At 32.4% G+C, this 16,664-nt stretch overlaps 1 long non-coding RNA gene across 1 annotated transcript in view; it reads right to left on the bottom strand.

The window, feature by feature from the left end:
* Positions 1–4,009: 4,009 nt before the first annotated feature.
* Positions 4,010–16,664, bottom strand: part of LOC105375371 (uncharacterized) — a 71,222-nt gene continuing 58,567 nt past the window's right edge. The window contains exon 3 of the long non-coding RNA XR_927707.3: positions 4,010–4,104. This is a non-coding gene — a long non-coding RNA (uncharacterized LOC105375371). The remainder of the gene's footprint in view (positions 4,105–16,664) is intronic.

Genomic DNA, 16,664 nt, shown 5'->3' with positions numbered 1-16,664 from the left:
AAACAATTGATTTGGGATTGTCCACAATCTTAGATAATCATCATGTTATCTGATATCTAGATTATCAAAAAATGTCTTTTGTTTTCCCTTTCAATTTTTTTTAATCTAAGTGTCCAGATTTGTCCAGGCCTTTGAAGATAAACTTCAATATGTTGGTAATTTCTAAATTTGATTATAAGTTAGGATTTTTGTTTGCTAGAGAAATAATTCTTCCTTGCAAGTTAGGATTTGAGTTTAAAGAGTTGCTTCCTAGTGAGTTCTGCAAATATTCACCTACCAGAAAAAGAGTATGCTTTACAAGACAACTTTTGTAATGATGTACACTACATTTACTTTTTTGATAGGAAAGTGCTGCCTTTAGAGTTATGATGATGTCATATTCAAAACGTTGACACTCTCATAGCTGAGTGAAAAAGAAGATATTTAATTAAAATAACTGGACTAAAATCTCAGGTCTTCTATGTTGTAACTTCTGAGTCTCAGTGTCCACATTTATATGAAGTGAGTGAAAGAATACTAAGCACATTCCAGCCTGTGATGAGACAAGGAAAAAAGTCTATGAAAGTTTCTGAAAACATATTCTGCTGCAAAGAAACAGTGATACTTTTAAATTGCTTCTTTTTCTTATCTCCTCCCTTTCTTTAAAAGTGCAACAGAAAAGGAATTTTCTTGTTGTGGTCTTACTGTCTCCTAATTCAAAATCATTCTGGATTTCAAATGAATTAACGACAGGCAATAATTTTATAGTTGATTGCCTTTTAGATCTCTTAGCCTTAGAATAAAACTATTATATTAAATAAATTTACTTATCAAAAACATTTCTTTCCTAACATGAAAAAATATACTAGAAACTGTCACTATAAAACTACATACAAGGTATAGTACTAGTCCTTCAGAAATGATCCTAGTCCACAGAATATGGAAGAGGAGAAAGGAGAGGCCGAGGAGAGAAAATTGACACCAATATCAGATGAATTTTCTATAGATTAATAAGGTAGAGAATATGTAAATGACTTGACTTTTTACAAAGTGTCCTCTTGATTGTCTTTTAAAAAGACATTTTAAACTAACTGTGACTAGCGAGACACATAGCTAATTTTGGGGAAATATACAAACTTCTCCAACATAAGGTTATCATTTTGATATTTGTCAGTGCTAAATAAATAGTCATAAATGTGGAACTTATCTTCCCCTATCAAAATTCTAAGGATAAGTTTTCTCAGTTTTCAATTTAAAGATATGGTCATTGAGCCTTTTTTCTTAAAGGTTCTATTACTAGCCTACAAATTGTTATGAAAGAGAAAGTCAATTAAATATGTGAGCTCAAACATGTTATGTTTAAGGACTAGCCCATTTTTCCCCCCAAAACTGAATTAAGTTGAACATTATGGAGAATATGTTAATATTTATAATATCACATTGTAAAAGTAAGGGTACTTTTACAGGTAAGTAATTTCCCTAAGGTGGAAGAAATTCATTTTTAATGTCAATTTTAAGATAAATGATATATTTCCTTACTTTAGTTTTAGAACTTCTAACATAGCCGAGGAGAGGTATACCACAGCTGTTAAGAGCATTGATGTTGATGTTGTACTATTTCAAAACGACACTTGTGTTTAGCAGGTTACCTGCCTCTGAAGGTACAAGGAATCCTTTAAACTAAGAAAGGTCACATGGAGAATAGACTCCCTCTGATGAGTGCCTCAAACATCAAACCTGTTTATTTAAAGAGACCATGTAAAGTTACATACTCAAATCTGGGTTTTTTTCCTCTTGGAAATCTCCACTTTGTGGATAAAATACTGCTTATGGGTTTATGCAGCCAGACACCTAGTGCATAAAAGAAGGGAACTAGTGTCAGATCTTTTTATATTGGTTGTTTTTTTAATAATGACAATTTCTAGGGCCCCAATCACCAGGAAGAGGAGGATTCAGGATCTCTGAGACAGATTGAGAGAGGCCAAATTCAGAGTCCCCATTAGCTGATTTGCTGAAGGAGAATTTAAGATTTTGAGGCAGTGTTTCTTACACCTGACTACAGAGATAATTAAACAAAAGGCCAGTTTTATCTCCAGACAATTGCAGAGGCTTTGGTAGTGTTGGTTATTGGCTAGTTTCTCAGTCCCTATTATGAGAAGCACCCTGAGCCTTTAATTTAGAATGTCTTTATTTTACACATCTTGCCTACATTAGACCTCTGATCATCTTCACATTTATCATTATTACATGATTTTGGATCTCTTTTGTCTTTTCTCTAGGTATTACCTTACAACTGGACACTATTTATTGGGATTACCTAGGGTGTAAGAGGGTATTTGGATAATTCCTTCCATAAAATTTCAGGCCATGAATCTAAAATGATTCATTAGCTAACATTTTACTAACATCATTCTAAACATTTTTACATATAAAACATCTATATAATTCCAAGACATTAAAAGTCAATACAGTATTTATAAAGCAGTTATATGCATTCATGCGGGTGACTCTATCTTCTATCTAATATCTTTGATCTTATAAAGAAACCAAAATGTGATCATATATTGGATCTACCACTTACTGTTCTTCTTCGGATGAGTTTCTTAAACCTTTATACCTCAACTTCCTCTCTATAGAACATTACAGAGAATATGTTAATATTTATCATACCACATTGTAAAAGTAAGGGAACTTTTACATGTACCCATACTTTTAATGCCAACCTAAGAGATTTTTGTGTTAGGGCTAAATGAAAAACAATATAGAATACTTATCACAGATTCTGGTATTTGATATGTAGTCTATAAACCACTGTTAACAAAGAAAACAAATCCTCAAACTTTCTTTATGTGTATATATAAATATTCATATGTGTGTATATATGTATGTATAAATATGTGTGTGCATAAAACTTCAAAAATGCACTTGGTTTGTCTTACCTTCTGAGTTACTTTCATTGAATGTCTTTGTGTGGGTGTTTCTGTGGGTGAATTCTCTTATAGACTTGTTAAGTATACACATAGAAGAAACCAAACACATCACAGTGACTAAGAGACTTTCCTTTTGAGGACTGGCTCTAAGAAAATCACATGTATATGAGATCCACAAATTATATGCAATATATACACGTGTGTGTCATGCACATTTATGGTTTCTAGAAGTGATATAGAAGTTCTACAATAATAAAGCTCAGCAAAAATTCTTGTAGGAATTTAGAAATGAGATTTCACTTCAAATAAGTGTATCTAACTTATAGAGTGTGAAGTTGATTTTAGGTTGGTTTTTGGTGTAATATTCTTTCAGAAGTACCATCTCATAAAAAATTTCAGAGAACTTGGATGAAAATAATTATACAAAAATTCCCTATGAAATATTCATTTTTAATATGCATTCTGTGTGGATTCAATTTTTAAGAGTTTCTTTAAATATATTCAGCTTTCATATTGCTTTGCTTTATACTGTCAAAACAATAGCAACATTTGCTTTACTGTCAAAGAGATCAATTTCAACAATTCAGTATAAAACACAAATTATACCATTTGCTGACATTAAAAAAAGGATTCATTGAATTTTCCACTTTTTTAGCCAGTTATATAATTGACAATTGTACGTAATTTAAGTTTTTTAAGCACACACATACACAATAAAGAAAAATAACACATTTGCAGGTAAAATGAAATAAACATCAAGAAGAAAAATTACTTGCTGAGAAGTTAAGGTACACATGGGATGTTGCTATAAAACTTTTTTTTTTCATTTATCTATCAGATAAATGTTGGATATGATTCTGTAAGTCATCAATAAATGAACAATACAACTGTGTATTAAACTGGTGAGTCTGATATGATAATCTGTTCTGATCCTGGAATTATAATATCATTGGCATTAGTTGGAGTTAGGCAACATAGGAAAATTACAAGAGATGTTAATATCCTGATGTTGACACATTGCTGCTAAGTTGCCTCTTGAAACAACAAGAAGCAGACAAGGAAATTCACAAGGTAAAGTTACGTCAAGACTTGGTCACACGGTAAGTACCTGGTGGAGCTGGGATTCCTATCTGTGGCTGTATTGGTTAAGAGTTCTTTCAGGACAGGAGAAGGCCTGTCAGTGTGCACATTTAACCTGAAAACATGAATAAAGTTAAATTTCCCATATGAGTGGTTATTTTTATTGGACATTTAATAAGTAAGCTCTATAGATAAACTTCATAATGAAACATTTGACAATTTCAGATCTACAGAAAGGAATATAAATATAGTTACTGATCAAATAGTATGCAATCTGAAAATAAAACTGACGGTAAAACCTTTCAGCAACAAGTGTTTTGGAAACATTTTGACCCTTCCACATATTACCTTGATCCAAATATCTGTGGGGCAGCTGGTAAGGAGGCTGAGTTCATAAGATACTAGGCATTGACTTAGACATACTTCCAAGCAGTGACTTTGGTTTCTTCATTGCCATTTAAAAAAAGTTCAAAACCACAAGATATCATCTTCTACTTATTAGAATGTCTATTACCAAAAAGACAAAAGGTAACAAGAGTTGGGGAGGATGTAGAGAAAAAAGAACACTTGCACCCTATTGGTGGGTGTATAAATTAGTTCAGCTATTACGGAAAAGAGTATGAGGGCCCCTCAAAACAGAACTACCATATGATCTAGCAATCTCACTACTGGGAATATATCAAAGGAAATAAAATCAGTATGTCAAAGAGATATCTGCACTCCAATGTTTATTGAAGCATTATTTACAATAGACAAGATATGGAATTAATCTGTGTCCGTCAACAGATAAATGGATAAAGCTAATGGGGTATATATATACAATAGAATACTATTTGACCTTAAAAAAGAAAAAAATTTTAATGTGGGAATATCCTAACAAGAATTTTCATCAATTGTACACATGCTTAAGGACAAATTTTAAAAATTGAGTTTCTAGCTGTTCATAGTGACTGTATAAATACAAAATCAATTTTATATATTAACATATCCAGCAAACTTGCTGAATGAACTTACATGTTCTAGGAGATTTTTGTTAAGTTTTTTGGGATTTTTCTAGTTACACAATTATGTCATCTGCAAATGAGATAATTTTATTTCTTTCTAATCTAAATCAGAGTGTCTTTCTTTTTCCTTATTGCACAATGGATAGGTCTTCTGGAATGATGTTGAGTAAGAGTTGTAAGACAATAGCCAAGCCTTTTTTTAACACCACAATGTTGCGGGAAAGCATGTGGTGTCTTACAATTAAGTATGATGTTATCTTTATATTTGACACCCTTTATCAGTCAAAGGAGTGTTCTTCTATCCTTAGTTTTCTAATAGTTTTTTAAAATAAAAATCATAAATAAATGTTGATTTATCAATATTTTTGCGTTTGTTAAGATGGTAATGTGGTTTTTCTTTTTTAGTCTGATAATATTGTGAATTATATTGATTTATTATCAAATGTTAAACCACCCTTGCATTCCTGAGATAACCTTCACTTAGTTTTTATATGTTGTTGAATTTAGCTTGCTAATATTTAGCTGAGAATTTTTTTGCATATGATCATGAGAGATATGGTTCTATAGTTTTCGTTCCTTTTAATGTCTTTGATTATTCACAGTATTACCTGATTATTCCTTTCATATCTGTAAGTTCCATGGTGATATCCTTCTTTTATTCCCAACATTAGTAACCTATATGTTCTCTTTTTTATTCTAGATCAAAATGCCTAAAGTTCCTATCAATTTCATTGTATTTCTTAAAGAATCAATTTTGTTTCATTAATTTTCTCTATTGTTTTCTGTTTTCAATTTCATTTCTTTCTGTTCTTCTTTTAAACTTTTTCATACTGACTGAGGTATAAATGACAAATAAAAATTGTGTATATTCAAGGTGTACAATGTGATGTTTTCATATACGTATGCATTGTGAAATGATTGTCACTATTAACCTAATTAACACCTCCATCACCTTACATAGTTACCTTTTTAAACATTATTTTAATTGACAAATCATAATTGTATTGCATTATGTATTACATGTATAGAGTAGAAGCTGCTGCTCTAAAAAACTGACAATGAAAGAAGAGCTGAATCTAGAGCAAGCAGAAGAAAGCAATTATAAAAAGAACACAGTGCAATGTGATGTTTTGATACTTTGTTCTTTTTATAATTCCTTTCTTCTACTTGCTCTAGATTTAATTTTATTTTATTGGTACTTCTTTAAAGTAGCAGCTTAGATAACTGATTTAATACTTTTCTTCTTTACTACTATAAACATTTCATGTTTTTTGACGTTCTCTAAGCACTTCTGTAGCTATATACCGCTAAAGTATTATGTGGTATTTATTTTCATTTGGTTAAAGTATTATTTAATTTACCTTGAGTCATCTTCATTGACCAATGGGCTATTGAATGTGAGTTGTTGATTTTCCAAATATTTGGGGAGAATATTACAGATATCTTTCCATTGCAGATTTCTAATTTAATTTTGTTATGTTATAGATCATGAATATACTTTATATTATTTCTGTTCTCTTAAATTTGTTGAGGTTTATATTATGGCCCAGAATATGGACTGCCATGGTGAATGTTCCATATACACTTTGAAAAAAACGTGTATTCAGCTGTTGTTGGGTAGGATGTTATAAAAATGTCAATTACGTCAAGTTGGTTGATAATGTTTTCAGGTATTCTATATTTTCACTAGTTGTTATGTCAATTACTGCTTGAGGAATGTTGAAGGCTTCAACTGTATTTGGGGATTTAACTATTTCTGTTCTAAGAGTTTTCCCTTCTTGTATGTTGAAGCTCGATTGCTAGATGCACACGTTTGAGACTTATCTCTTGGAAAATTGAGCAATTTTATATTTAAGTAATGTTCCACTTTATTATAATATTCTTTGGTTTAGGTATATTTTGTCTAATAACAGTATTTTGGTTAGTGTGTGCTCCATGGTATAACTTTTGTGCATGGCATATATTTTTATGTCTTTTTATTATTAACCTGTGCCTTTATGTTTAAAATGAATTTCTTTCAGACAGCATATGACTGGGTTGTACCATTATTATTCAATCTTACAGTATCTGTCTCTCAACTGGTATATTTGGATTGTTCAAATTCAGTATGATTGGATTTAAATTTTATTTAATATGGTTGAATTAAAATCTCTTTACCTGTTTTCTATTTGTTCCACCTATTGTTTTATACTTTTTTCTGACTTCTCATGTTGAGCACTTTTATGATTTCATTTTATTTATATTGATTTATTATCTTTTTTAAAAATCAGAATCGGCATTGAAATAATATCCACACTTTACATGTATTGCAAGGAACTTTCAGCAGTCTCCTCCCAATTCCTCTTTTCCATTTTTTGTCCTATTGTTACATACATTTATTTCACATATGCACGATACTTTGATAGTTTTGTATTTTGAGTTATTTAAAGAAATTAAAATAATAAATCAATTTTATTATATTTTCATTTATTTCACTTCTGGGGCTCTTCAATTTTTTTACATAGATTGATGTTTCTCTCTGATATAAAATTATTTTGCCTAAAGAACTTTGTTTAATATTTTGTGTAGACTAGTTTTGCTGCCAATAAATGCCCTCGGATTTTGTTTATCTAAGATAGTCTTTATACTTCTTTCTTTTTTGAAGTATATTTCCCCGTTTATCTGGCTAAAACTAGGGGTTTACACAGCAGGGAGGAAATGTAATAATATGTAAGAAAACAAGAACTAGGGAGGAGCAAGGAAGCAATCGTGATGAATGAGGGGTGGCATCTGCTGTGGTGATCTGGTGAGTTTCAGTTCTTTGATACTTTTTTGAGAGGCCTGTAGGTCCTGTCCTGAGGAAGGAACTCTGATAAAACAAATATAAGTTTCAAGCTCTAAGACTGAAAGAGTCAATTTCTGTGTTTATCAAAAAGAATAGTCTATGGGACTACTGGGTTGGTTTCACTCTTAAATATTTTTTGATCTATAACAGCATAGCAGTTCCCACACACATACAGAGACATTTTTTGTTCAAGCCATAGTTTATTTAAGGAATTGGGCTAACCATCCTGTAGCATATTCCCACAATCTATATTTGGCAGATTGCATTTTATTGCTGTTATTCAATATGTTTCTCTTGTCTTTATATTTCTTGTAATTGAGTCTAAAACTTGCATAGTCACATTCAAATTTTAGCAAGAATGATTTGTAGGTGGCATGGTAGATTTCTTTAATATTGAATCAAGAGCCCATATAGTCTGGTTTTCCTAAGAGAGATCAGTGTTTTCAGTTGTCAGTCCATCTACCCATTATAAGGCTTAGTAGCAACATTTCATGTATTTTTAAAACATCTAGTATGAATTGTTCTCCAGATCCATTGTTAAATTAGGGCTTATAAAATAATGATTTTACATGCTGCTATAAAGACACATGCACACGTATGTTTATTGCAGCATTATTCACAATAGCAAAGACTTGGAACCAAGCCAAATGTCCAACAATGATAGACTGGATTAAGAAAATGTGGCGCATATACACCACGGAATACTATGCAGCCATAAAAAAGGATGAGTTCATGTCCTTTGTCATGGATGAACCTGGAAACCATCATTTTCAGCAAACTATCTCAAGGACAGAAAATCAAGCACCGCATGTTCTCACTCATAGATGGGAATTGAACAATGAGAACACATGGACACAGGAAGGGGAACATCACACACCAGAGCCTGTTGTGGGGTGGGGGGAGGGGGGAGTGATAGCATTAGGAGATATACCTAATGTTAAATGACGAGTTAATGGGTGCAGCACACCAACATAGCACATGTATACATATGTAACTACCCTGCACGTTGTGCACATGTACCCTAAAACTTAGAGTATAATAAAAAACTAAATAAATAAAAAATAAAATAAAATAATAATTTTATAGCTCTATGATTATTTTTGCTTTATGAGTTGAACTACTTCTATAGAAGAAATTACCCTTATCAAATACTTGGCTACCTTGAAACAGTTTTATAAGGTATTATAATTTCTTTTTTATTTTATTTGCCAATTTGCAGAATGAGTTATCACACCAGCACTCTACAATGGTAGGGTAATCATATAACTTAATCTCCAAACTGTGACACTTACGAGTAAAATGAAGTTATATTAATAATTATCCTAAGACAACAATTGTAACCTGGGATTATTCCAGAAAAAGTTATCTAAAGGTGATCTATGCGTATTTTTAAAAGCTGATTATGAACTTATGGATTTTTTTGTATTTTATGTTTCATTTCATTGCAATCATAATTCTCATTAATATCCTAATTGTTTTATATTTGGCTGTTGAGAGCTGCTTCAAGTTGGTTTCTATGTCCTTTTGAGATAATCTCAGTAGTCTTTGATACCTCATGCTCATTTTATATATTTCCTTCCTCCAGATCTGGAAACAGTTATTTCTCAAAGGAACCTGTTTATTTTAGTAAGGAATGGTATGCAGATACCAAAATATTGGTTTTAGAGCTGATTGCTTCTGTGTTACGTTGCTTTTAGACCTTTTCAATGAAGAGAACTAAGAAATGTGATTTTTTTAAAGAAAAATTAATCATGAGTATCTACTGATATTTCTAAATTAAAATAAAGATTACTGGGATTTAATCTTTTATATTTTATGTTTGTGTTTATTTTCTTTTACTCTTCAAATATTGATTACATGATTTTTAATGTTACCAGTATTTTCTACTTTAATATATATATTCACTCAAAACCAGTATTTTTACTAACAATGACTAATTCAATTTCAAATTTCTGTGATGCTAGTTTTATCCTTTAGGCATAAACCACTAACAAGTCCAGTTAAAATCCTGTATTTTAAAATCATTTTAAAAATTTTTGTTTAAATGGTATGCCACCAAATTGATGAATGATTTTGTTTTTAAAAAAATTGTTTTTATAGTTTATGTAAAAAAATCAAAACTATAAAACAAGGTAAAAAGATCTGTAGCTTCTTTGTTACTTAACTCTTCCTACTTTTGTCACTCTCCGAAAGATAGCATTAATGAAACCACATTAAAGTCTCTATATTGAAACTAGTTTGACTATATTTACTGATATATCATCATATTATATTTACTGACATATCGACATACTGAGGTAAGTCTTAATCAAGCCTCTATTATGAAATGGCTGTTTCGGTATCTCTGATTTTATTTTAATCATAAGGATCTTTTTTCCCACTGTCTCTGTTACATATTTATGTATCTTATGCTAGTTCACATAAACTGGTCATTTGCAGTGTCTGTTTTGGTATACTAACTGTACTGAAATCTCAATAGTTGTTCAGAGATCAGCCCTTACATTTAGATTGTTTCATCACATTTCTTGTTGCAACGACTGAATTAAGCAAGCGCATTTTTATTTATTTTGTTGTGTCCTACTCTGACTCTATTACTATTGTGCAGATTTGTAGAAGGCAGCAACTACTAGATATATGACTCTCCTGTGAGATTGGATGAATACTAGGGATGCTGGAAATGCCATTTTTAGAGATGTTTCATGAGAAGGGTCATATACTCTTAAACTAATGTCTCCCAAGAAACCCTTATCTTGAAAGGTTCTGCTGCATACTTCAAAACACCCATCCTTGTCTTCTATGTTTATGGCTACAAATGCCTTCAATGAAACTCCAGAAGTATAAGAAAGTGCCTGTCCCTATGGCATAGCTTAACTTAGCTGTTGAACCTTCATTTTGTAATGTAGTTATTCTAGTTAATTTTAGGTATTAACAGGGGAAATAATGTGACTTTAAAAGTGTTAATACAATACTCATTCATATAGAAACATACAATATCCTGGAAAAGATAGCAAATTTAAGTTCAATACTGCAGTGAAGAAAACTATTAAGCTTTATTTAAACCATAACCCATTAACACTCAGACTTACTTGACCACAGAATTGTTGCTTCCTACATAATGTATTAGAAAGCAGAAGAATTAGTGTTCTATAGAACACACCTGAATTTTGTAAACGCTGCGTTAAATAAAGTTTAACAAATGCATTTACTGTACAATATTTGAGAGTTTTTTATTTGCTACTGTGAATGATGAATACTCAAGGTGGAGGATAGTATATGGAATATTTCTCAAATTTATTTATGTCAGAACTACTTTACTGCATGACACGAACTGAGAATTATTGTTTAGGACCTATAAACTTCCTTATTTTTTACAATATATTTCTCCCTTTCTTACTCAGAGAAGGTCATATAATCTCTATGTCATAAAATGCTAAGAAATGCGATTTCATTACTACTCTTATTACTATTAGTATGTTTACCTTTAATTGATGCATTATATAATAAAGAATCCTGAATGTCATAAATCTAAAGCTCAATGAATTTCAACAAACTGAGCCCAATTGTGTAACCAACATCTAGCTCAAGAAACAGAATATTTTACCTACCTGTAAAGAAAAGGGGAACAAAAATTTCCCCAGACCTTCCAGGACCACCTTATTTTCTTTAAAAGAAAAGGAAGCAGTAAGGTCAGAAGAACAGTCTATAAAAATACTGTCCAAGTACACTAGATGAACTTACTATAGGATGCAGACGTTGTAGTATAGGTTTTGAACACCAGTTATACTGACACACAAACTGAAGATCTATCCCCCTCCTCACAGCTTTAGAGCTTAGCAATTGACCAATAAAAATGTAGAGGGAATTATTTAAGGCAAGTCTGTTTAACTTGTCTTTCAGCAAACATTGCATTGACTAAATCCTCTGTTCTTTGATCTTTTGAACATTGGTGGTAGAGTTAAACATTTAATAAAAAAGCGAATGAGTTTGTCCATAGAAGAGTTAATTGATAAGAGAAAGAGGAATACTGATTGACAGTTACAGACAATATTCATGGACAGTGGTGGAAGCCACAGGCTGGGACAGTTTTCTTTCTGGAATAAAATCTACATCACTGGAAGATGCTGCTACTTAGTTTCTTTTATTTTTTTTTAAGTTAATTTAGCTTAATTTTTAAAAATTGACAGGCCAGGCACTGTGGCTCACACCTGTAATCCCAGCACTTTGGGAGGCCCAGGCGGGCAGATCACCTGAGGTTAGGAGTTCGAGACCAGCCTGACCAACGTGGAGAAACACCCCCTCTCCACTAAAAATACAAAATTAGACGGGCATGGTGGTGCATGCCTGTAATCCCAGGTACTCGGGAGGCTGAGGCAGGAGAATTGCTTGAACCTGGGAGGCAGAGGTTGCAGTAAGCTGAGATCGCACCATTGCATTCCAGCCTGGGCAACAAGAGCAAAACTCCGTCTCAAAAAAAAAAAAAAAAAAGTTGACAGATGAAATTGTATATATTTATTGTGTACAACATGATGTTTTGTTTTATATATATATATCTGTGTGTGTATATACACACACACATACATATATACATATATTTTGGAATGGCTAAATCAAGCTAATTAACACATATATTATCTTAGTTGTTATTTTTGTGGTGAAAACTTGAGATCTACTCTTAGCATTTTTCAAAAATATAATATATTGCTATTAACTATAGTAACCAAGTTGTACAATAGATTTCTTGAACATATTCCTCTTATCTAATTGATATTTTATATCCTTTGACCAATGTCTCCCTAGCCACCTCCTGCCCCGACCATCACCCCAACCCCTGGTAACCACCGTGCTACTCTTTACTTTTATGAGATAAACTTTTTAAAATTCCACATGTGAGTGCGATCATGAGGTATTTGTCTTTCTGTGCCTATTTTACTTAATGTAATATCTGTTGCAAATAACAGGATTTTCTTCTTTTTTATGGCTAAGGAAAAACCAGATTTATATACCAGATTTTCTTTATCCATTCATGTTGATATACACTTAGGTTAATTCATTTTCTTGTCTATTGGGAATAATGCTTTAATAAACATGGGAGTGCAGATATCCCTTTAACATACTGATTTAATTTCGTTTGGATATATACCCAGCAGTGGGATTGCTGGATCATATGGTGGTTCTATTTTTGATTATTTTTAGGATCTCCATACTGTTTTCCATAGTGGCTATCCTAATTTGTATTTGCACCAACAGTGTGTAAGTGTTCCCTTTTCTGCACACCCTGGCCGACGCTTATCTTTTGACTTTCTGATTATAGCCTTACTGCTCCTCAGTTTCTTGTGTTATTTGTAATTGTCTTTTATGGCTGTCTGCTTGGCCATTTAATATTTATTTGGGAAAAGATACTATCTTAACTCACAGCTTCTAATAGATATAAATATGATGCTTATGGCCAGGCACGGTGGCTCATGCCTGTAATCCCAGCACTTTGGGAGGCCGAGGTGGGTGGATCACCCAAGGTCGGGTGTTCAAGACCAGCCTGACCAACAGGGAGAAACCCTGTCTCTACTAAAAATACAAAAAATTAGCCAGGTGTGGTGGCACATGCCTGTAGTCCCAGCTACTCGGGAGGCTGAGGCAGGAGAATAGCGTGAACCTGGGAGGTGGAGGTTACTGTGAGATGAGATCACGCCATTGCACCCCAGCCTGGGCCACAGAGTGAGACTCCATCTCAAAAACATAAATAAATAAAATAAAGATGCTTATGTTTCTACTGCTATACTTATGTTTCAAACTATTAATATATCATCCCTAATTTTCACCTTAACATTGTGAAGTAGCTATTATTAATCATATTTTACTAATAAGTAAAATTAACAGAGAGACTAAGTACTTGCCCTAGGTCACACCAATGTTAAGCAGAGAAAACAAGTTTTAACCTTAGACATCCAGCTCAAAAGCAAAGCGCTTCAGCATACATCCTATCATTTCCTTTAGGTTCTCTGTTCCTGAAAATAACCCTGGGAGATAGATAATGTGTTCTTTTCTCAGAGTGGCAATCACTGAGGGCTGGGGTATGAACCCAGATCAGAAAACTGTGGGTGCATTATTCTTTCCTCTAACCCAATAGAGTATATATATATACATTTTTTTTTTAAACTCAACTTTATAACACTTCTTTCTACTGAGAAGTTCAAAGACTTACTATATCAGAGAAAAGGAAATACACTACTGATTTTTAATAAGAAATGAAAATTTACAGTTTGAAACAGGGAAAGAACACTAACATGTTTCTGATTTTTAAGGTGCAATCCAAAAAATGGCTTCACATTCAAGGATACAGGAGAATTAGGCTGGATTTCCATCACTCATCTTTGTTTATATGACTGAGAACATTGGTATTTCTATGCTGCAGTTGGGTAATGTTTCTTTTTTATATATGAATATTTATTTAGGTTAATATCAAATATAAATACATTAAAATAAACTGATAGAAATCATTACATAACTTGCATCAGTGGGCATTAGGTATTCAAAGATAGATATATTTACAAACAATTGAAACACTTTTAGTGCAATGAGAGGGAGACATTATAAATTATACCACTTTGTGATGGATATGTTCCTTTGCTTGGCTACAGTAATCATTTCACAATGTATATGTAAATCAAAACATTACATTGTATACCTTAAATATACACAATGAAAATAAAATACATCACTTTTGGTTTGTTTTACACTTAATTTTCTCAGACTTCTCTGGAGAATTGGTCCTGTATTTACTTAATTGACTTTACACTTAATAAAATACAACAGAAAAGAAAAACCGTCAAAATGTTACTGATTTTAGACATGAGAAAGTAATGCATAATTGAAGTACATATACAAATAACAATTATCATCTTTCTATGAGGTTACTATTACAGTATGTATTGGTGGACATCTCTTTTTAATAAAACACAGCTTAATTAAAAATTCTACAGACAGAATTGTTAGTCAGTGGTGTTAAATGTTTCACAATTTTATCAACTTTACTCAGGTGTATTTACATTCAAGTAATTGTATAGAGCTAATGTGTGTGATTTGATTCATTGTGATAGATGGGTACAGTGCCAAACCACTGCTCAAATCAACACACAACATTTTTCTCACCTCTCAGGGTTTCTTTAAGCCTCTATGGAGCACATTCCTGCCTCTGCACCCTGCCCCAGATAGTCATTGATATCTTTTTGTTCTCTGTAGATTAGTTAGCATTTTCTAGATTTTAACATAATTAGAATCAACCAAACAATATAAACCCTTTTGCAAAAGGCTCCTCTTAGCACAATGGCTTAAAGAGTCACATATGTTATTGTGTGGATTCATTTTCATTGCTCAGCAGTGTTCAGTTGTAAAGATACCCATATTTTGTTTACCCATGCATTTGTTGATGAATATTTGGGTTATTTGAATTTTGGAGCTACTTTGAAAAAAAGCTTCTATGAATATATGCATATAAATCCTCTGTGTGGATATATATTATCAATTATCTCAGGTAAATACCTGTGGTGGAATAACTAGGTTACTTCTTGGATATATATTGAATTTTTAAAGAAATATCTGTAGAGTTTTCCAAAGTAATTGTAGCATTTCATGTTCCCACAGGCAGTGCATGACAGTTTCAGTTGCTCCACATCTGGACACTTAACATTTTCAGCCGTTACTCTTAGGTCTTCTGATGGGTACACAACAGTAACTTTTATTTCTTTTAATAGTACTTTCTCAGATAAATAACAATGTTGACATCTTTTCATGTGCTTATCTGCCACAAAAATGTTTTTTGTGAGGTATGTGTTGAAATATTTTGCTCAGTTTTTTTACTGGATTTAATTTGAAGGGCAAGACCACCCTGCATAATTCAGGACCAACAGTTCCCCTAAGGCTAAAATCCCCTATGGGAGCAAGTCAACCCTAGGGAAATGGCCAACCCTGGCTGTGCTCCACTACAGACACTGCCACACCAAACCCTCTGGTTCCAGGTTGTTCCTTGCCACCTTAACTCCCCCATTCCTGGGGGCCAGGAACGAGTCCAGGTGCACAGTAGCACTGTGTGAGGTTCCCAGGTATCTCCTGATGTTTCAGTTGTTTTTATATACTGGCTTTCTAACTATAACTGTTTGCATTTTAATGGTTTCTTTAAAGTTATGTCATGTATCCTTAACTTTTCACATTACTTAAGGTTAATATTGTACACATTAATGAAAAGACCTTATAACCATCTAAGTCCATTTACCTCTTGAGATCTGTTATGCTAGAATTTTCATATGTATTATATCAATATACATTATACACTCCAAAAGAAAGCATCATAGTCTTTGATTGAAACAGCCATGTATATTTTAATGAAATGAAGAATAAAAAATAGACTATCTCCAACTACGTATCATTTTGTATTCCCTTCTTGAATGTCTGTTTCCCTCTACTACCACTCACCTTCACCCGGAAGAATTTCCATTAGCATTTCTTGCAATATATGTCTTTTCAAGACAAATTCTCTTAGTTTTCTGTTATCTGAAAACATCTCCACTTTGCTTTTTTATTGAAGAATATTGTCACTGTACATGGAACTCTGGGTTGTTAGTTTTATTTCCATCATTACTTTAATGATGTCATTCCACTTCTTCTGATTCACAGTTTCTGATGGAAGACTACAATCATTTGGAACATTGTTTGACTGTATATAATGTGCCATTATTCTCTGGTTTCTTTCAATATTTTCTTCTTTTCTTTGGGTTTCTGTAATTTGTCTATGATGTGCCCAAGTAAGGTGTACTCATTGTATGTGTTGTTTTGGTTTTACTGAATATATCGCAT

This window comes from Homo sapiens, chromosome 7 (assembly GCF_000001405.40).
Source record: "Homo sapiens chromosome 7, GRCh38.p14 Primary Assembly".
NCBI classification, from domain to species: domain Eukaryota; kingdom Metazoa; phylum Chordata; class Mammalia; order Primates; family Hominidae; genus Homo; species Homo sapiens.
Note: the sequence above shows the minus strand (reverse complement) of the source record. Positions and strands in the feature narration are given on the sequence as shown.